Source organism: Homo sapiens, chromosome 6 (assembly GCF_000001405.40).
Source record: "Homo sapiens chromosome 6, GRCh38.p14 Primary Assembly".
Classification (NCBI taxonomy): domain Eukaryota; kingdom Metazoa; phylum Chordata; class Mammalia; order Primates; family Hominidae; genus Homo; species Homo sapiens.
Window position 1 is genome coordinate 167,417,678 of NC_000006.12, and position 20,373 is coordinate 167,438,050.

A 20,373-nucleotide genomic window follows, 5' to 3' on the forward strand; every position below is an offset into this window, starting at 1 on the left:
ATTTGCTTTTACCATTAGGAAAAATGTGGGTTTTTTAATTAAAAAAGTAATGCATATTAAATGTACATATTAATATACATTAAATAGCCACAACTTTTTACATGTCAACCATACCTCAACAAAGTGGTTTTAAAAGAAATGTACAATCTTTGATCATTTGTAAAAAATAAAGTCTAAGATCTTCCCTATGTTTCTTCACTCCACATCATGTTCATTGCCCAGGGTTGCCAACTACCCTGAACAGCTTACCTCTCCCTCTCTCCCTTTCCTCTCCACCCTTCATCACCCTATGGTTTATCCATTCAATGAGTCCATTCAAAACTTTTTTAAAATGCAAAAATATCATTTTCTAGATGCTATTCTGTAACTTGCTCTGTTTCGTAGTGTTTTAGTTTTGCAGTATATAATCCTGCAATTCGAGTCCATGTGGATGTGCTTCTCTGATTTTAGAAGTTTTACACCATCATATCCTCTGGAAAAAACAGGTTTTTTTTTGTTTTGTTTTTGTTTTTTTCCATTCTCCTTTTGACAGTCTTTTGGATGACTGTCAAATCTTTGGCCATCATGGATGTTGCCTATTCATATATCCTTGGCCACTCATGAGAGAAGATCTCTAATAGCAGAATTAGGAAAAATTGTCTCCTTCGTGGCACTTGGATAAGATGAGGTAGGGGAGCTACGTATGTAAGACCCTTACATTGTCGATGATAGGGGAACTGACATTCGTCCAAGTTACATAAGCAATACATGACCTGAACTCAAAACTGAGTCTCAACTTCAAGCTTCTCACCAGACTCTCTTCTTACTTCCACAAATATCGTTTTTTTTTTTATGGTAAACTTTCAACAGGCCATTTTTTATTTGCTAAAAAGTTTGTTTCTTTCTTCACCCAGTCATCACTGCCCTCAAAGCTATCTGCTCAGAGGGACAAAAACAGCTTCTAGAAAATAGCAAATACAGACTTCCAATAAGAGAAGTTTAATCCAGAAATATATTATTTAAAATAACTTTTTTTTGGCTAAAAGATATATATCTTTGCACACACACATATACATATGAAAGAAAATTCCTTTATACATTTGGAATGTGGAAAGATTTCTAAATTATTTCCTGAAATTGAAAAGTCATAAAAGACAAGATTAGTAAGTTTGACCACATACGAATTTTTTGAAACCTTCAAGGCAAGAAAAATGTCATACATAAAAGTCAACAGACAAATAGCAACTGAGACTGAACTTCCTAATATATAAGACCAAATTGATTAAGAAAAAAAGAAGAAAAAATTCAACATTTTGATCAAAAAATTGGCAACAAGTATGAATAAAAATTTTGCAAAATGATATACCAATGGCTCTTGAGTATATGAAGAGAGGCTCAACGTTGTTCATAGTGATCACAAGCAAATTAAACTGAACAGGTGTATTTAATCTGTTGGATTGGTAAAAAGCAACAGGTGAAGCTGCTGGGAGGCGTGCAGACGGGAGTTCTCATGCTGTCCCGGTGCATATATAAATTGCTGCAAACTCCATGGTGAGCAATTTGCAGTATTTCCCCAATTTGCAAGTACAAATTTGAGAATTTCGCTTTAGGATTTTGTTTTTTTTTGAGATAGCCTTGCTCACATGCTCACATGTGGAATGTTGTTTACACAGTCATTTTTCATTGCAGAAGAATTTATAATAGCCAAAGATTGGAAACAACCTACTTGTCTATCAGTCGAGGGCCAATCAATAAAGTTCTGCCATTCTCAGATGCAACTGTTTTCAGCTCTTGCTACTGTTTCTTCTGATAGTTCTCTCCATGTTTCTAAATAATACACCTTGTCCTGTTTCCCATCTTTCTCCATTAGTGTGTTTACTGTACATGTTTAGTAAGCAGATTTTTAAAGAGAGTTTTAATTATAAATTGCTAGATAATTTTATCAAAATGTTCTGCACTTCTTGAGAAAATCAGATGATTTTTCTTCTTTAGTTCATTAATGTGATGTATTAAATTGATAAATTTTCTGGCGAAAAACCATCTTGATAGCTCTCTGACACACCGTATTCAATCATGGTGTATTTTTAAATTAATTTTAACTAGTTTGAAAATTGATGGATTCATTTACCAATAGATGTTTGTTCAACAGTCAAAGTGGCCTACACATATTTTATTTTATTCTGCCTGTGTTCAGTTAGGATCGAGGTTATGTTTGCCTTATAAAATAGGTGGTCAGCTTTCATTGTTTTTCCTTTTCTGGAATATCTTGTATAAAATAAGGAATTCTCTGTCCCTTAGAAGTTAAGTAATCAGTAAGAAAGATCTCCACAAAATAAATTTTAGACAAAAATTAACAAGGTTCAGAATAGTGTAGTACTCTATCCTTTTAACTGTAGTAAAATATACATGGCCGTTAAAATTTCACAAGTTTAACCACTTTCAAAGGTCCAGTTTAGTGGTATCATGCACATTTACATCGTAGTGCAGGCATCATCACCATCCATCTCCAGAACTTTTTGTCTTCCCAAATTTAAACATTATACCCAGTCAACACTCACTCCCAATTCCCCCTCCTGGCAGCCCCGCTTTACTTCCTGTCTCTAGGAATCTGACTCCTCCAGGGATCTCACAGAAGCGGAGCCATTCAGGGTCTGTCCTTTCGTGACTGGCTCATGCCATACAGCACAGTGTCCTCGAGGTTAGCCCTGTAGTAGCCGGTCTCAAAGCAGATAATATTCCATCGTGCACGCCCGCGTTTTCCTTATCCATTTACCCCCGGTGGACACTGGGTCTGTCGCCATGTTTTGTCTGCAGTGAACTGTGTTGCTGAGAACACAGGTGTACAGATAACTGAGTTCCTGCCTTCCATCCTTTGGAGTGTCTGCAATACACTGACTTTTGGGTGCATACCTCCCGAGTAGCTGAGATTACCAATCACGCCCAGCTAATTTTGTATTTTTAGTAGAGACGGGGTTTCACCACGTTAGGCAGGCTGATCTTGAACTCCCGACCTCAGAAGATCCGCCCGCCTCGGCCTCCCAAAGTTCTGGGATTACAGACGTGAGCCACCGTGCCCGGCCAGGTGCATTAAAAAATAAATAAATAAATAAAAATACTGTTGAAGGGTGGCAGAATACACCACCTCAAAATATCAAAATATGCCACTTTTATTTTGAGCTAAAGGCATTTGAAGTCAATAGATGAAAGAAGGACGCCCGACCTTTCTTTTTCTTCCTGAAAGCAGGAGATTAACCACCCCTGCCCCCCTCCCACCTCTGTGGAAGGGGTACACCCTGTACTAGGAGGAAAAAACTTTCTTATCACCAGAGACAGGGTTGAGGCGCTGAGGGGACTGTGTATAAAGCAACCCCAGCTTGTTAGACAGACGGACCCTTATCTGCCTAGTTACTTCCACGATTCCCTGAGCCGGCCCGGGCCCCCGGGTCTTGTCATATTCAAACAATTTACTATGCTTTGTGCGACTTGGTGGGCAAGTGTTCAGCTGTCGCTGCTTCTTTGTGTCTTCATTTTCCCAAGGGGTTTCCCATGTGCACGTACAATCCCAGCTTTTCTCCTGTTAATCTGCCTTAATGTCCATTTGATTCCCAGGCCCCCTGGAGCCCCTGGGCGGGTGGAGGTGCTGTGCTGCCTCCCGTGCTGTGCGCGCTTCTCAGCCCTCTCTGCCAGCATTTCTGTCCTGGAGCTGCAGCTGCTTTGCCTGCGTTGAGCAGGGCGCCTGCGGAGCGCAGGTGACATCAGCCACAGCCGTGCCTGCACCCGCCACCGCTCCAATCCCCACGCAGCCCGGTCACCCGGTGCCTCCACTGCCTTGGCTGGCGCTGGGCCGGGGCCTCCAGGTTTCTGTGTCCAAAGGGCAGGAGAGAGGCGCAAGCGGGAGCTGCTCTTGCTATGCCAGGGCGGTGCTAGAGATAGACTTTGCCCTGGGCTGGGCTGTTTTCCCCCCACGCGGATCCTCACCTCCGCTTCTCCACTGGCTTTCCGCCTTTACATACGTCTATTTTAAATTTGTGTTAGGCACCCCCACACTGTGACTCCCCTCAACACTGCCGCTCCCCCACGCACACAGCGGCTCCCCCAACACACGGCTGCTCCCCCCACAGCCTGCGGCTCCCCACACACGGCGGCTCATCCACATATGCTGGCTCCCCACTACGCAAGGCGTCTCCAACCCTCCAGACGGCGGCTACTCCACACACGGCGGCTCCCCCCACACACACACGGCGGTTCCCCCCACACACGGCGGTTCCCCCCACACACGGCGGCTCCCCCCCCCACACACGGGCTCCCCACACACGGCGGCTCATCCACATATGCTGGCTCCCCACTACGCAAGGCGTCTCCAACCCTCCAGACGGCGGCTACTCCACACACGGCGGCTCCCCCCACACACACACGGCGGTTCCCCCCACACACGGCGGTTCCCCCCACACACGGCGGCTCCCCCCCCCACACACGGCGGTTCCCCCCACACACGGCGGCTCCCCCCCACACATGGCGGCTCCCTCCCACACACGGCGGCTCCCCCCCACACACGGCGGCTCCCCCCACACACACACGGCGGTTCCCCCCACACACGGCGGCTCCCCCCACACACGGCGGCTCCCCCCCCCACACACGGCGGCTCCCCCCCACACACGGCGGCTCCCCCCACACACACACGGCGGTTCCCCCCACACACGGCGGCTCCCCCCACACACGGCGGCTCCCCCCCACACACACGGCGGCTCCCCCCACCACACACGGCGGCTCCCCCCCCCACACACGGCGGTTCCCCCCACACACGGCGGCTCCCCCCACACACGGCGGTTCCCCCCACACACGGCGGCTCCCCCAACACACACACGGCGGCTCCCCCCCCACACACGGCGGTTCCCCCCACACACGGCGGCTCCCCCCACCACACACGGCGGCTCCCCCCCACACACGGCGGTTCCCCCCACACACGGCGGCTCCCCACACACACACACGGCGGCTCCCCCCACACACACGGCGGCTCCCCCCACCACACACGGCGGCTCCCCCCACCACACACACGGCGGCTCCCCCCCCCACACACGGCGGCTCCCCCCCACACATGGCGGCTCCCTCATACACTGCGGCTCCCCCCACCACACACGGCGGCTCCCCCCGCCACACACACTGCGGCTCCCCCCACCACACACGGCGTCTCCCTCATACACTGCGGCTCCCCCCACCACACACGGCAGCTCCCCCCCCCCACACACGGCGGCTCCCCCCCACACACGGCGGTTCCCCCCACACACGGCGGCTCCCCCCACCACACACGGCGGCTCCCCCCCCACACACGGCGGCTCCCTCATACACTGCGGCTTCCCCCCCAACACATGACGGCTCACCCACATCTGGCGGCTCCCCCTCTACACGGCTCCCGTCTCCAACCCTCCACACGGCGGCTCCTCCACAAATACGGCGGCTCCCCCTCCCACGGCGGCTCCCCCACACACAGCAGTTCCCACACACACACTGCGGCTCCCCCGCACATGGTGGCTTCCCCCCACCACACTGGGGTTCCCCCCCAGGGCAGCTCCCACACACACGACGGCTCCCCCCATACTGTGGCTTCCCTGCACACGACAGCTCCCCCCCCACACACCATGGTTCCCCCCACACGGTGGCTCCCCCTCACACAGCAGCTCCCCCGCTACACGGCGGCTCCCCCGACACGGTGGCTCCCCACACGTAAGCAGCAGCTCCCCCCACACACGGCCCTCCCCACACACACACACCCGGCGGCTCCCCCCACCACACGGTGACTCCCCCTCACACAGCAGCTCCCCCCACACACGGCCCTCCCCCCACACACACACACCCGGCGGCTCCCCCCACCACACGGTGACTCCCCCTCACACAGCAGCTCCCCCCACACACGGCCCTCCCCCCACACACACCTGGCGGCTCCCCCCACCACACGGTGACTCCCCCTCACACAGCAGCTCCCCCCACACACGGCCCTCCCCACACACACACACCCGGCGGCTCCCCCCACCACACGGTGACTCCCCCTCACACAGCAGCTCCCCCCACACACGGCCCTCCCCACACACACACACCCGGCGGCTCCCCCCACCACACGGTGACTCCCCCTCACACAGCAGCTCCCCCCACACACGGCCCTCCCCACACACACACACCTGGCGGCTCCCCCCACCACACGGTGACTCCCCCTCACACAGCAGCTCCCCCCACACACGGCCCTCCCCACACACACACACCCGGCGGCTCCCCCCACCACACGGTGACTCCCCCTCACACAGCAGCTCCCCCCACACACGGCCCTCCCCCCACACACACACCCGGCGGCTCCCCCCACCACACGGTGACTCCCCCTCACACAGCAGCTCCCCCCACACACGGCCCTCCCCCCACACACACACCCGGCGGCTCCCCCACACAGAGCTGGGAGGCTCCAGTACTCTCGGAGCTTGGCTGGGGCTCCTGGGGAGGGCCGTGGCTCCTCCTCACCCGCTGGGGAGCCAGGAGTTCCGTGAGTGGTTGAAGCCCTGCTGGGAGGGTTGGGCGTTTCCAGCCATTCTCACACGGCTTCTCAGCCGGGGTCTCCCACCCCGGCCCTGGCCCTGGGCCTGCCCTCACTGCCTCCTCCCCATCCCCTACCCCTAGAGGCCTCCTGCCCTGGTCACCTACGCGTCACCTAAGCCCCGAGGCCAGGCGGCTTCTTGTCTACTAAAGACTTCCGGAGAGAGGCATTCACCCTGTGGTCAGAGCTGGGGTTTCCATGGAGGAGCACCACAGCCATAAAGAAAGGTAGGGTGACCCCACCCCTCGGGCCTAGCGGTCCCGAGCCCTGAGGGGTCATTGGGTCCACCAGGCCCTCCCGGCCTCCTTTTGTTCCCCAAACTCCCAGGGTCCTCCTGTACTTTCCACATGGCTTCCTTGCTGATCAGAGAAGTATTCCAGCGGCTCTGCTTCACCTCCTGTAAACATCAGATGACCCGGCTTAAACCTAACCACGCACATTGGATGAGTCCTTCATCCAGTGTTGAATTTCCCCCACTACATGGTGACAATACCCTAACGTCATTTTTCCTCACATCTTTGCCATGTACACTGGGGTTCTGGGGACACCTCAACGTGCTGGGTTGAGCAATGAAAGCAAAATGGCTTTATTCGTTTCTGTCCCTGGACTCCCTTGCAGAGAGCTGAGTTGGGCGCCCTAGGCCTGCTCCAGGCTCCTGCGTCCTCCCCACGGTGCTGACGGGGCCTCTGGGGTGTCACGGGCTCCAGACATCCTCCTGCATGTTTTCTCCAATGTGTCACCACTAAGTCACACAGTGGGGACATCAAATGAGCCCCTCAGTCTTTTGTACACGTTATGCTCAGGGTCCCCTGATCTTACCCTTTTTCATTTTGGTTGACTACACTGACTGGGTGTGTCATGGGTACTGGAGAATGCATTAGGAAGAGTGTTTTCTTAAACACCAAGAGTTTTGAATGAGTCGAAAGCAAGGCAACAGCAAAAGGGGTAAGGTGAGATCAAGCCTGGGTCTTGCTGGATGGGACCATGTAAAATGGGGCCTGTGATCGACTCACTCTATGTTTTTCCCACCGTCTCCCTCAGAATTCACACAAAATACACAACAACTAGTCTATCCTGGCCTTTTCCAAGATCACTTGTAAGGAGTAATGAGCAGCTCTGATTGAAATGCTGGGTGATACCAGGACCTCAGACATTCCATGTGAAGGGTTTTTAAGCCAGTGGAGGTTTCTAAAGTCTGAGAAAATGTCAGGGTACAGGTGGAACTCAGATTTGCCTCCCCCTTTTGGTTGCATTCTACAGGGAATTTTGGTTGTGAAGAACGTGCTTTATAATATCTTTAGGGCTTTTGTCCCTTCATCTTACATCACACTTGGCCTAAATGGTGCGGGTCCTTCCTGGGGCACCACTCCCTGAGCAGGCACAGGAGCAGGGCAGCACCTGCCCTAAATTGCAGGACAGCATAAGCACAGTCAGCCCCCAGAGCCTCAGTGACCCGGCAGGGTCAGCGGAGTCACCCGGACGGTGTTGGCCTTGCTGGTCACGGGAATTACTGCCTGATGGCCACCATGACCAGAGTTTTCAACTTGACATGCATTTTGAGGAGGACTGCGAAGGGACAGATTTGTTTGGGAAGGTGCAAGGATACAAACGTTGGTGGACGAAACTGTCACTGAGAAATGGAACATTCCAGTGCTTTGCCTTGCAGCCATCTCAAACAGGCTCCTGGGGGCCCTGGCACAGCTTCTCCTCCCAGTCGTGGGGCACAGCCAGGGCCTCTGCACTGGCCCGGTGCTTAGGAAGCCCTCTGTGTGAGTGGAAGCTGCGCACTGTCAGGACGCACTCCACGTCCCTGAAAGAGTCTCACAAATCAGCTCCTAGCCAGTGTCTCTGGCACTGGAAAGTCTTCTCAGGAGGTGAGAATTAGAGACCCTGGGGGAGCTGCAGGGACCCCACGGAGGGACCGTCCCATAACCGAGGGAACTCATTTGGGGGACAGCAGGAAGTGCTTCGTGTGCTGAGGAAAGTCCTTGCTGGAAGCCACTTAGAGGAGTTTAAGTTTCCAGGCTTCCTTCTTTGGGACACAAACTATCCCTGTTTACACTGTCATTTCCTCTTTCCATTTCAAGTAAACAAAAGATAAAAATAAATACATCATCGTAAAAGACAGTAAGATACAATAAAATGAAAGGTCAAGTAGAGAGGCACAATAGCACAATATAAGTACATTGTTTGTTAAAAACAAAACAAAACAAAAATTCCAAGCATAGCCTTTGTCTAAATCTAAAAGACATAAGAGGGTTGGTGAATGTTGTAAGGCAGCAGAGTCCAACAGAAATATAATGCAAGCCACATCTGAATTTTATATTTTCTAGGAGTCACATTAAAAAGGTAAAAAGAAACACCTAAAATTGGTATTAATGGCATATTTTATGTTACCTGATATCATCATTTCTAGATGTAATTGTTAGAAAACTTACAAATGGGACATTTTACTATCATTGTTAAGTCTTTCAAGCCCACAGTGTGCATTTCACTCTTGCAGTTTAGCTCAGTTAGGACTGACCCACTTCAAGTGCGTAACAGCCATGCATGGCTGCCAATGGCGACCTCATGGAAGAGCTCAGTTTCAGCATAAAAGTGGAGGCTCTCAGGTCAACATGCTGGACTGAAAAGCTTCAGCACTGGTCAGAGGCACGGACTAGGTAGGCAGCTATTAACGGGAGGAGATAAGAGCCATTAGGGAAAGGAGCCATGGGTCCTTCTATGGGGCTGACTCAGCTATGCCCTGCAAATCTGTGGTAGCTCACACTTCCACCAGGAGAAAAGGAGGGTGCCTATTTCCTCGAACTCTGGATAGAGCTGACAATCTGATTTTACATGTGTAATTTTTATTTGTTTTGCTTATTAGTAAAGCTAATAATTCTCTCTGGTTTATAGGTTATTATTATCCCTGCATTTGCGCTAAAAACAAATTATTGAACTAGAAGACTACCGTTTTAGTTTGTTTTCTGTTGCTTATAACACAATCCCTAAAACTGGGTAATCTCTAAGGAAAAGGAATTTATTTTTTACAGTTATGGAGGCTGTGAAGTGCAAGGTCAAGAGGCTGCATCTGGTGAAGACCTTCTTGCTGGTAGGGTCTCTCTACCTGGTCCTGAGGCAGTCCAGGGCATCACATGGTAAGGGGTTGAGCATACAAACATGCTAGCTCAGGGCTCTCTTCCTCTTCTTGTAAGCATACCAGTTCCATTCCCATGGTAGCCCATTAATCCACTAACCCATTCATCTATTCATTTATGAATGAATCCCTTCATGAGAGCAGAGCCCTCATGAACTGGCCACCTCCTAAAGGCCTCACCTTTCAATACTGCCACATTGAGGATTATGTTTCAGCATGAGTGTGGGAGGGAGCATTGAAACCATAGCAACTACCATAGATAATTCACTCAAAATTAAGATGCAGGGGGTGGGAGAGACAGAGGATATCAACAGTAAGAGTCATGGGTGACACTGACCAAGAAACCCACTGTCCATGTCAGCACACTGCATTTAGTGTATCCATATTAGTACGCTGCCTTTTTGGTCCAGCTCCTCACCCCTCCCTATACCTACATGCTAAGCCATGTGACTTTGGATTTTCCTCTATTAGAGTCAGAGTATATTTCCTGGTCCCATTGGTGTAGATATTGGCTGTATGACTTGCTTTTGCCATCTAAGTACAGGTGGAGATGAGTGTGCCCGTTCTCAGGCTGGGACTTAGAAGATGTCTCACGTTTTTACTCACCACTCTTGAATGTCTCCCATTGATACCAAGTGGACATGGTCGCAGGAGGAGAGGCACAGGGAGCAGTTTCCCTGCTGACCTGCAGCCCTGCAGCCCGAGGCTGTGCTGTCCTGAGCATGGTAGTTTGTGCTTATGGTCCCAGGCCACTGAGTTTGGGTGGTTCGTTACAAAGCACAAATGTGGTGATAGTTTAACAGGCCATGTGCAGAGACTGGAGAGGCGATAATACAGGAGAATGTCCCTACACTGAGGAAAGACTTGAGTCTCCACATCGAAGGCTGAGGGAGAATATTAGGCAAAGATACACATACAGGTGCAAACCAGCAAATTCTTTTCATTCCACATTGAAGAAGATACTACAATTCTCCAATGGGAGTGAGGTAACTTAGAGGAAAGATAATTAGACTGACATTGGAGTCCTCATTGCAACACTACATTTAGAAAGCAATGATTGTAGAGATTTTGAGGGAAAACATGGAAATATTAGAAGCTTACACTCAGCCAAACTATTGTTCAACTTTGCTTGTGAAAGAGATTTTACCACCATACACTTTAAAAAAAAACAAAAAACAAAATTCATGAAATATACCAACCACACCAAAACTAAAAACTCCCCAAAGATGTAGAATTCAACTCCAAAATCTATTCTTTTTCCACTTCCCATCTTTTTCAAAAATATGTTCTGAGCAGCATGAGCCCCACAAGATGTTCATAATCATGGAATTGGTTGGTCTACTAGGGCCAGGAAGCATTCACACTTCATTAGCAGTAACAGTTATGAGTACGCCACAGCCATTGCGCCCACGTATTCACTCCTCATTTAGTTTTCTCCACTGCTCCACAATGTAGGGACAACTATTGCCACCACATCACAGAAGGAAAGTGAGTCATGAGGACGCTGAGCAGCTTGCTGAAGGTTGCAGAGTGAGTAGGTAACAGAGCTGGGTGTCCCAGCACTCTGGTGTTCTGCTGCCTCCTACACAGATCTCTAATGGACCACCATCCTCCAGGCATCTGCACAGCCATGTGTGTCCACACTTACCATGGTATTGTCTGTGTCAGAAAGAAACTCAAGTAGCCACAGACCAGGAAAAAGTGTCCACCTGCTGCCTCAGTCTCACAGCACTTCCTCTCCTGCAGGGAGGTGCCCTTCCCAGTCCCTGTGTCTGAGTCTTCTGTGTTGCTGGCCCTAGGTCTCTGTGTTGTGAGTCCTAGGGATAAGTATGTGATACTGGGGGTGGGCAGTCATTCCCCTACCCCTCCTGGATACAGGGACAGGCCTGGGGTAGGCATGTGACACAAGCTAAGGATGCAGGAGGCCTTTTCTGAATGTTATTTTAAAGAAAAGGGAAGAAGACTTTGCTTTTTGAGTTGCACAATTTGAAGGCTGTGGATTGGGAATGCCGGAAGGCTAGGAATCACCTTCCACGACAGATGAAGGAATCCTGTCTGCTATAGGCAAGAATGAGACTGAATAAAAAAAGAGGGAAGGAGAGCAGAGTGGAGTGCAAAGAAGGGGAAGGAGAAGAACAAGGACAAAGTCAGGAAGAGGGTAGTGTATACGTCAGCTCAAGCTGTTGTAACAAAATGCCACAAACTGGGTGGCTTAAACAGCGTAAATTTATTTTCTCACAGTTCTAGAGGCTGGAAGTCTAAGGTCAATGTGCCCATTGGTTTGGTTCCTGGTGCTCTTCCTGGCTTGTAGAAAGCCCCATCCACTATGTGCTTGCCATGGTTTGAATGTATCCCCCAAATTTCATGTGTTTGAAACTTAATCCCCAATGCTACAGTGTTGAGCAATGGAACCTTGAAGAGGTGATTAGATCATGAAAGCTCTGCCTTTATGAATGGATAAATTGTTGTTATCTTGGGAGTATCATGGGAGTGGGTTCTCACGGGAGTGGGTTCCTGACGAAAGGATAATTTAGCCCCCTCCATTGCTCTCTGGGGCACCCTCTTGCCCTTCCATCTTCTGCTGTGGATTAACATAGCATGAAGGCCCTCACCAGATGCCAGCATCATGCTCTTGGACTTCCCAGTCTCCAGAATCATGATCCAAATACATTTTGTTCATTATAAATTACCCCTTTTGTGGTCTTCTGTCCTAGAAACACAAACAGCATAAAGAATGTTATATGGGTTCACTCAGAGAAACCTATCTCTGGTGTCTTTTCTTACAAGGGCACTCACCTCATCATGAAGGTCCACAATCATGACCTCATCTAAACCTAATTATCTCCCAAAGGCCTCCCTCCAAATATCATCACACTGGGGTTAGGACTTCAACAAATGAAGAGGGAGAGGGACACAAATGTTTAGCTCATAACAGGAAGGGAAGGGAAAAGGGAAGGAAGAGAGGAAGAGAGATCTAACAACCTCATTTGAGTCCCTGGATCCAGTCATATCTGAAGCAAGAAATCTATTTGTGACATTTCTAGTTAAAAGCATCAATAGATCCCTTTTTAATCTTAAACTGTATTGAATTGGATTTTTGATATTCGCAATTACAATAGCTTTGATTAATTCGTAACATGCATCTACAAAGTGAAAAACCACACAGTCATTAATGTTAAAGTGTATTGAATTGGATTTTTGATATTCGCAATTACAATAGCTTTGATTAATTAATAACATACATCTACAAAGTGAAAAACCACACAGTCATTAAGAGTAATGAGAGGAATCTATATAAACTATTAAGGAAAGGGGCACACAATATATTGTTTATAGTAAAAAGGAAGTTGCTGAGCAGGAGATATAGCATGATACTATTTAAGATGGAATGTACCATATGCATATATTTATATGTGTGCAAATATTTCTATGTGTGGAAAGGAAGATAGAAACAGTGGTTATCTTCAGCATTGGGGATGATAGTGGTTATAGGGTTAGGAGAGTTGACTTACTTTACACATGTCTCTGTGTGTGTGTGTGTGTGTGTGTGAGAGTGTGTATGGTGTTGGGCTTTTTGTATTGTTTTGTTTTAGAGACAGGGTCTCACTGTGTTACCCAGGCTGGAGTGCACTGGTGGGATCTCAGCTCAGTGCAGCCTCAAACTCCTGGGCTAAAGCAATTCTCCAGCTTCAGCTTCTGAATAGCTGGGACTGCAGGCATGTGCCACCATGCCTGGCTATTTATTTATTTATTTATTAAAAAAAATTTTTTTTTTGAGAACAGTGTTTTGCTCTTGTTGCCCAGTCTGGAGTGCAATGGTGAGATCTCAGCTCACCACAACCTCCACCTCCTGAGTTCAAGCAATTCTCCTGCCTCAGCCTCCTGAGTAGCTGGGATTACAGACATGCACCACCACGCCCGGCTAATTTTGTATTTTTGGTAGAAACAGGGTTTCTCCATGTCGGTCAGGCTGGTCTCAAACTCCTGACCTCAGGTGATCTGCCTGCTTTGGCCTCCCACAAGCGCTGGGATTACGGGCGTGAGCCACCACACCTTGCCTATTTTTTTATTTTATTTTTTGTAGAGACAGGTCTCACTATGTTGCCCAGGCTAATCTGAAATTCCTGGGCTCAGGTGATCCTCCCACCTTGGCCTCCCAAGGGGCTGGGATTACAAGCTTGAGTCACTGTGCCCAGCCCCTATCTATGTTACTTGATTATTTTAAGCATGAACAATTATAATTTGTAATAAAAATAATTAAAATGCACGTTTCATTTTGAAAAAAAAATTTGTTTTACCTGGAAAGTTTTTTTCTATTATTTATTTTATGAATGTCTCTCTTTTTTCACCTCTATTGTCTTCTTTTAGAATTAAAATTTTACAGATTTGTGATTTCTGGGCTTAGAGTTTATATAATTTCCATCTTTGTACTCTTTCCTTGCACAATCTTAGGGACTTTCTTGAGTTTTTGTTATGATTAGCCAAATTAACTTCTGCAATACAGATTGATTCTGTTTTATCTGAAATACTTAGGACCAGAAGTGTTTTAGATTTGGGCAATTTGGGGAAGGGGATTTTAGAATATTTGCATTATACTTACTGGTTGAACATCGCTAATCCCAAAATCCAAAATCCAAAATACTCCAATGATCATTTTTTTTTTTTTTGAGCATCATGTTGGTGTTCAAAAGGTTTCAGATTTTGGAGCATGTCAGATTTTAGACTTTTGGATTAAAGATACTTGACCTGTACAGAATGTGATTCCAGTGTTTATTTAGTTTTCCACTGAAAGCACGACATTCACAAGAACCCTCACATACGGTGATAGACATCTGGCTGATTTTCACACAGTGGACACACCCCAGTAACCAAGTAACCAGCACCCAGATCAGAAACAGAACATCGCCAACATCTTAGAACCCTTCTCATCACCTTGTAACCACAAACTCCTGGAGGCCTCCGCTTTCTGGAAGCATAGAATTTATTTGTGGGTACTTGGACTTCATGTCAATGGAACCCTGAGGTATCTATGCCTGGGTGTCTGGCTTCTTTGGCAGCTCCTGCCTGTGGAATTCATTCACATGGTTGCACGCAGCCAAGCACTTCCATCCTCATTGCTGGTTAGGGTTGCACTGTGTGAAGAATACAGCTGATTGCCCCAGATGCAGCTTTGTGCTTAGTGATCACCCGCCAGATGCAGCTTTGAAATTTGTGATCACCAACCAGATGCAGCTTTGTGCTTAGTGATCACCGACCAGATGCAGCTTTGTACTTAGTGATCACCAATTTTCATCTCGGGGGCTCTTCTCTGATCTGTCATCCTCTCTTCATGTTAACCTGCTCTGGTTTCACGGACAGACTATCCCTTTATAAAACTGAAAACCTGAAAACCTCCCTTCTCTTTATTTGGTTTTAATTTTGATTCCTAAAGGTATTTTTTGTTTAAAATAAAAAGAACCCTTCAGCTGTTGGGTGGCATTTTCAGGTAGTTCATCTTTCCAGGAACGAGCGTCTGTGCAGAGTATGGGTGGAAGTGGTGGTGGCAGAGTGGAAGAGGCCATGGGGTGGCAGAGTGTGGATGGTGGTGGTGGTGGTAAAGTGTGGATGGTGGTGGTGGTAGAGTGTGGATGGAGGTGGTGGTGGTAGAGTGTGGATGAAGGTGGTGGTGGCAGTGTGTGGATGGTGGTGGTGGTGGAGTGTGGATGGTGGTGGTGGTGGTAGAGTGTGGATGGTGGTGGTGGTGGTAGAGTGTGGATGGTGGTGGTGGTGGTAGAGTGGGGGTGGTGGTGGTGGTAGAGTGTGGATGGTGGTGGTGGTAGAGTGTGGATGGTGGTGGTGGCAGAGTGTGGATGGAGGTGGTGGTGGTAGATAGTGGATGGAGGTGGTGGTGGTAGAGTGTGGATGGAGGTGGTGGTGGTAGAGTGTGGATGGAGGTGGTGGTGGCAGTGTGTGGATGGTGGTGGTGGCGGAGTGTGGATGGAGGTGGTGGTGGTAGATAGTGGATGGAGGTGGTGGTGGTAGAGTGTGGATGGTGGTGGTGGTGGTGGCAGAGTGTGGATGGTGGTGGTGGTGGCAGAGTGGCAGAGACCGTGGGGTGGCAGAGTGTGGATGGAGGTGGTGGTGGCAAAGTGGGGATGGTGGTGGTGGTAGAGTGTCGGTGGAGGTGGTGGTAGAGTGTGGATGGTGGTGGTGGCAGAGTGTGGATGGACGTGGTGGTGGTAGAGTGTGTGTGGATGGTGGTGGTGGTGGTAGAGTGTGGATGGAAGTGGTGGTGGCAGAGTGTGGATGGAGGTGGTGGTGGCAGAATGTGGATGGAGGTGGTGGCGGCAGAGTGTGGATGGAGGTGGTGGTAGTGTGGATGGTGGTGAAGGTGGCGGTAGTGTGGATGGTGGTCGTGGTGGCAGAGTGTGGATGGAGGTGGTGGTGGTAGAGTGTGGATGGAGGTGGTGGTGGCAGAGTGTGGGTGGTGGTGTTGGTGGTAGAGTGTGGGTGGTGGTGGTGGTGGTACAGTGTGGATGGAGGTGGTGGTGGTAGAGTGTGGATGGAGGTGGTGGTGGCAGAGTGTGGGTGGTGGTGTTGGTGGTAGAGTGTGGATGGTGGTGGTGGTGGTACAGTGTGGATGGAGGTGGTGGTTGTAGAGTGTGGATGGAGGTGGTGGTGGTAGAGTGTGGATGGAGGTGGTGGTGGCAGAGTGTGCGTGGTGGTGTTGGTGGTAGAGTGTGGGTGGTGGTGGTGGTAGAGTGTGGATGGAGGTGGTGGTGGCAGAGTGTGGGTGTTGGTGTTGGTGGTAGAGTGTGGATGGAGGTGGTGGCAGAGTGTGGGTGGTGGTGTTGGTGGTAGAGTGTGGATGGTGGTGGTGGTGGTACAGTGTGGATGGAGATGGTGGTTGTAGAGTGTGGATGGAGGTGGTGGTGGCAGAATGTGGATGGAGGTGGTGGCGGCAGAGTGTGGATGGAGGTGGTGGTAGTGTGGATGGTGGTGAAGGTGGCGGTAGTGTGGATGGTGGTCGTGGTGGCAGAGTGTGGATGGAGGTGGTGGTGGTAGAGTGTGGATGGAGGTGGTGGTGGCAGAGTGTGGGTGGTGGTGTTGGTGGTAGAGTGTGGGTGGTGGTGGTGGTACAGTGTGGATGGAGGTGGTGGTGGTAGAGTGTGGATGGAGGTGGTGGTGGCAGAGTGTGGGTGGTGGTGTTGGTGGTAGAGTGTGGATGGTGGTGGTGGTGGTACAGTGTGGATGGAGGTGGTGGTTGTAGAGTGTGGATGGAGGTGGTGGTGGTAGAGTGTGGATGGTGGTGGTGGTGGTACAGTGTGGATGGAGATGGTGGTTGTAGAGTGTGGATGGAGGTGGTGGTGGTAGAGTGTGGATGGAGGTGGTGGTGGCAGAGTGTGGGTGGTGGTGTTGGTGGTAGAGTGTGGGTGGTGGTGGTGGTAGAGTGTGGATGGAGGTGGTGGTCGCAGAGTGTGGGTGTTGGTGTTGGTGGTAGAGTGTGGATGGAGGTGGTGGTGGTAGAGTGTGGATGGTGGTGGTGGTGGTAGAGTGTGAATGGAGGTGGTGGTAGTGTGGAGAGTGGCGGAGACCATGGGGTGGGGTTATCTGGGGTATTATTCAGGATGGGAAATGCTGCAACCGGCAATGCACAAACGCATCGTATGCATTTGCTCAGCCACACTGCACTCCTGCTGCAGCCTCTACATGCTGAGAGTGGCCCTCCTGCTGACAGCCAGCAGGAAAGAAGGGCCGTAGTCCTCACCATGACAAACTGAATTCTGGCAACAATGGGTGGGCTTGAAAGAGTATCCCAACCCAGAAAGGAACGCAACCACCTGACTCTGATTGCAGGCTGGTGAGCCCCAGAGCGGAGGACCCTGCCGAGCTGTTTCCAGACTCCTGATCCACAGAAACCGTGAGAGGATAACATTGTTCTGCTTGAAGCCACTACACCTGCCGTCACTTGTCTCGCATCATTAGGGAACCAACGTGCTCTGGAAGACAGCAACTCTCAGGGTCCATTCCGCTGACACCAGCGCCTCAGATGACACAGGACGTGGCATGGTGGCTATTGACTCATCAAGGGAACAGCAATGGTAACAACAAAACCTGGTTGTTCAGAAGTCACACACTCAAGGCCCTACGGGGCCAAGAGGGGTCCAGGAGCAGCCCAGTGAGCGGGGCAGGGGAGGGGTGCAGTCCACCCAGGACCCGTGCTGCCCACAGGCTGCTGCTGTGCTCGGAGAGGGCCTGCCACATGTGTCCGCAGAGAGAATCCGGGAATGCAAATTTCTAAGCGAATTTCTCCATACTTCAATGTTTGACAATCAGTAATTTTTCTTTGTAATTGATTTTTTAAATGTGAAACTCTTTTCAGGCAAACAAAACACACTTGCAGGCTGCCATTACACAATTTTGTTTTAATCATTTTAAGGTCTTCATTGTCTTTTACACAAAAGCTGGGAATATTCTCCCTCTTTCCAGAATTCAACTGGTTTAGTGACTAGGAAGATATTTTGTAATACATTTTTTTAAAAAAGAAAACCATGAAGGAATATTTCAAATAAGAAGCTGACTAGCTTAAATTAATAGCTGTTAAGTATTAAATATGATGTGCTTTCTCTTAAACTAGGCCACTCTGCACCTTGCATTCCTATCCTTTTTTGGGCTTCAGATCAGAAATCGCAACTTTTGCGTGGAGATCCTGGGCCTCCACACTGCTGGCCTCCCATCGTCCCAAGAATGACTCCCTGGAAAGAGCCTGTTCAGACCCTTTGTGACTGGACTCTACTGTAAGAGGAGAATCAAATGCTTGCAAGAAAACTGTAAAGCAGAGTTTCCTAAAATACATTTCATAAGCGTGAGTGCCAGGAGTGCCTTAAAAATGTGACTCTATTGTCAAATAAGTTGGGCAATTTACTGAAGTATACATGAATATGTTAAAACCTCCAAGGAGTCCTGAATTTAAAACAAACCTACACACAAAAACAAAGGTATTTTTTAACCTATCTGTTTGTTTGTTTGTTTTTGTTTGTTCATTTGTTTTGAGACAGACTCTGGCTCTGTCACTCAGGCTGGAGTGCAGTGGCGCAAACTCGGCTTATTGCAACCTCCGCCTCCCAGGCTCAAGCAATCCTCTCACCTCACCCTCCTGAGTAGCCCGCCACCATGCCCAGCTAATTTTTTGTAGTTTTGGTAGAGACAGCGTTTCACCATATTGCCCAGGCTGATCTTGAACTCCTGACCTCAAGTCATCCTCCTGCCTCAACCTCCCAAAATGCTAGGATTACAGGTGTGAGCCACCAGGCCCAGCCTAAATTATCTTTAACCCACTGTTTTCCTCAAATTATTTTAACAGATAGCTCTTTTTAAAAATAAATAAATAAATAAACACTTTTACTATCCCAAGTACTAATAGGAAATACTTCGAAAAATGTGACCCAGGACCCCGCAGTGAGCTTCTCACACACCTGACTTCACCTCCAGTGGAAGGAAATCTGCGGCCTGCTGAAATAAGAGATGAAGGAACTAAAAGAAAATCCCCAACATTTTTACTTTCAAAAACCCTAATAAATGGTACAAATAGAAACAAATAGCATGAGAGACTTAAATCTGCTATATTGATGGTTACATTTAATTAGTGGTCTAGAGACTCCTATTAGAAGGCAAAACTTGTCAGAATGGATAAAGCACTAGGGCCCAACTCTACAGTATGCGCAAGAGATGAACTTCATACACACAGGTAGAAATAGGTTAGAAGAGAAAAGAGGGAAAAAGACGCTCCATGCAAACAGTAATCATAGGAAAGCTGGGTGGTACCAAGTATTCTAAGAACAGATGTGCCTGATGATAGAGCTTCAAATATGTGAAAAAAAAACTGACACCTGAAAGACGAAGTAAGTCCACAATTACAGTTATACCTTTCCGCGTTCCCCTGTCAGTAACTGCTCGACAGAAAGTCAGTAAGAGCACAGAAGGCTTGAAAAACACTAAAACCCGGCTCGATCCACTTAACATTGCTTAAGCATTCCATCCCACACGTGCAGACTATAATTATGTTCTGATAGAACGCTGATCAAAATAGACCACATTCTAAGCCATGAAACAAGACTCAATAAAGTTAAAAGAACTGAAATCATGTATAATACATTTTCTGGGCTGGGCGCGGTGGCTCATGCCTGCAATCCCAGCACTTTGGGAGGCCGAGGCGGGCGGATCACAAGGTCAGGAGATCGAGACCATCCTGGCTAACACGGTGAAACCCCGTCTCTACTAAAAATACAAAAAATTAGCCGGGCGTGGTGGCGGGCGCCTGTAGTCCCAGCTGCTCCGGAGGCTGAGGCAGGAGAATGGCGTGAACCCGGGAGGTGGAGCTTGCAGTGAGCTGAGATCGCGTCACTGCACTCCAGCCTGGGCGACAGAGCAAGACTCCATCTCAAAAAAAAAAAAAAAAAAAAAAAGAAATCCATAGTAATAAGATAGCTGGAAAATCTTTAAATATTTGGAAACTAAATGGCACTTCCTGTAAATAACCTATGGACCAAAAAATATTACAGCATTGTGAGGGTTAATCTTAGGCATCACCTCCACTGGGTCCGGGATGCCTAGGTGGCTGGTGAAGCCTTGTTCCTGGGCGTGTCTGAGGGGGTGCTGCAGAGGAGACTGACATTTGAGTCCATGGACTTGGAAGGGG

General features: G+C 48.9%; 1 long non-coding RNA gene across 4 annotated transcripts, besides 2 other annotated features; it reads left to right on the top strand.

Annotated features, from left to right (window-relative positions):
• Positions 2,464 to 2,758: a silencer, noted in NCBI's record as "tiled region #8873; K562 Repressive non-DNase unmatched - State 20:ReprD". NCBI's record gives its function as "represses a minimal TATA promoter and a strong SV40 promoter by Sharpr-MPRA in K562 cells {active_cell/tissue: K562}" and the evidence as "EXISTENCE:reporter gene assay evidence [ECO:0000049][PMID:27701403]".
• Positions 5,224 to 5,518: a silencer, noted in NCBI's record as "tiled region #3778; K562 Repressive non-DNase unmatched - State 10:DNaseD". NCBI's record gives its function as "represses a minimal TATA promoter and a strong SV40 promoter by Sharpr-MPRA in K562 cells {active_cell/tissue: K562}" and the evidence as "EXISTENCE:reporter gene assay evidence [ECO:0000049][PMID:27701403]".
• Positions 5,558 to 19,815, top strand: LOC105378126 (uncharacterized). 4 transcript variants are annotated; one of them, XR_943263.3, is made up of 5 exons: positions 6,350 to 6,505; positions 6,640 to 6,783; positions 9,592 to 9,696; positions 17,532 to 18,972; positions 19,090 to 19,815. It is a non-coding gene; the product is annotated as an uncharacterized LOC105378126 (long non-coding RNA). The 4 variants fall into 4 exon arrangements; XR_943264.3 differs by lacking the exons at positions 6,350 to 6,505; positions 19,090 to 19,815 and adding an exon at positions 5,558 to 5,700 and having other exon boundaries at positions 17,532 to 18,737; XR_943262.3 differs by lacking the exon at positions 6,350 to 6,505 and having other exon boundaries at positions 6,513 to 6,783.
• Positions 19,816 to 20,373: the final 558 nt, after the last annotated feature.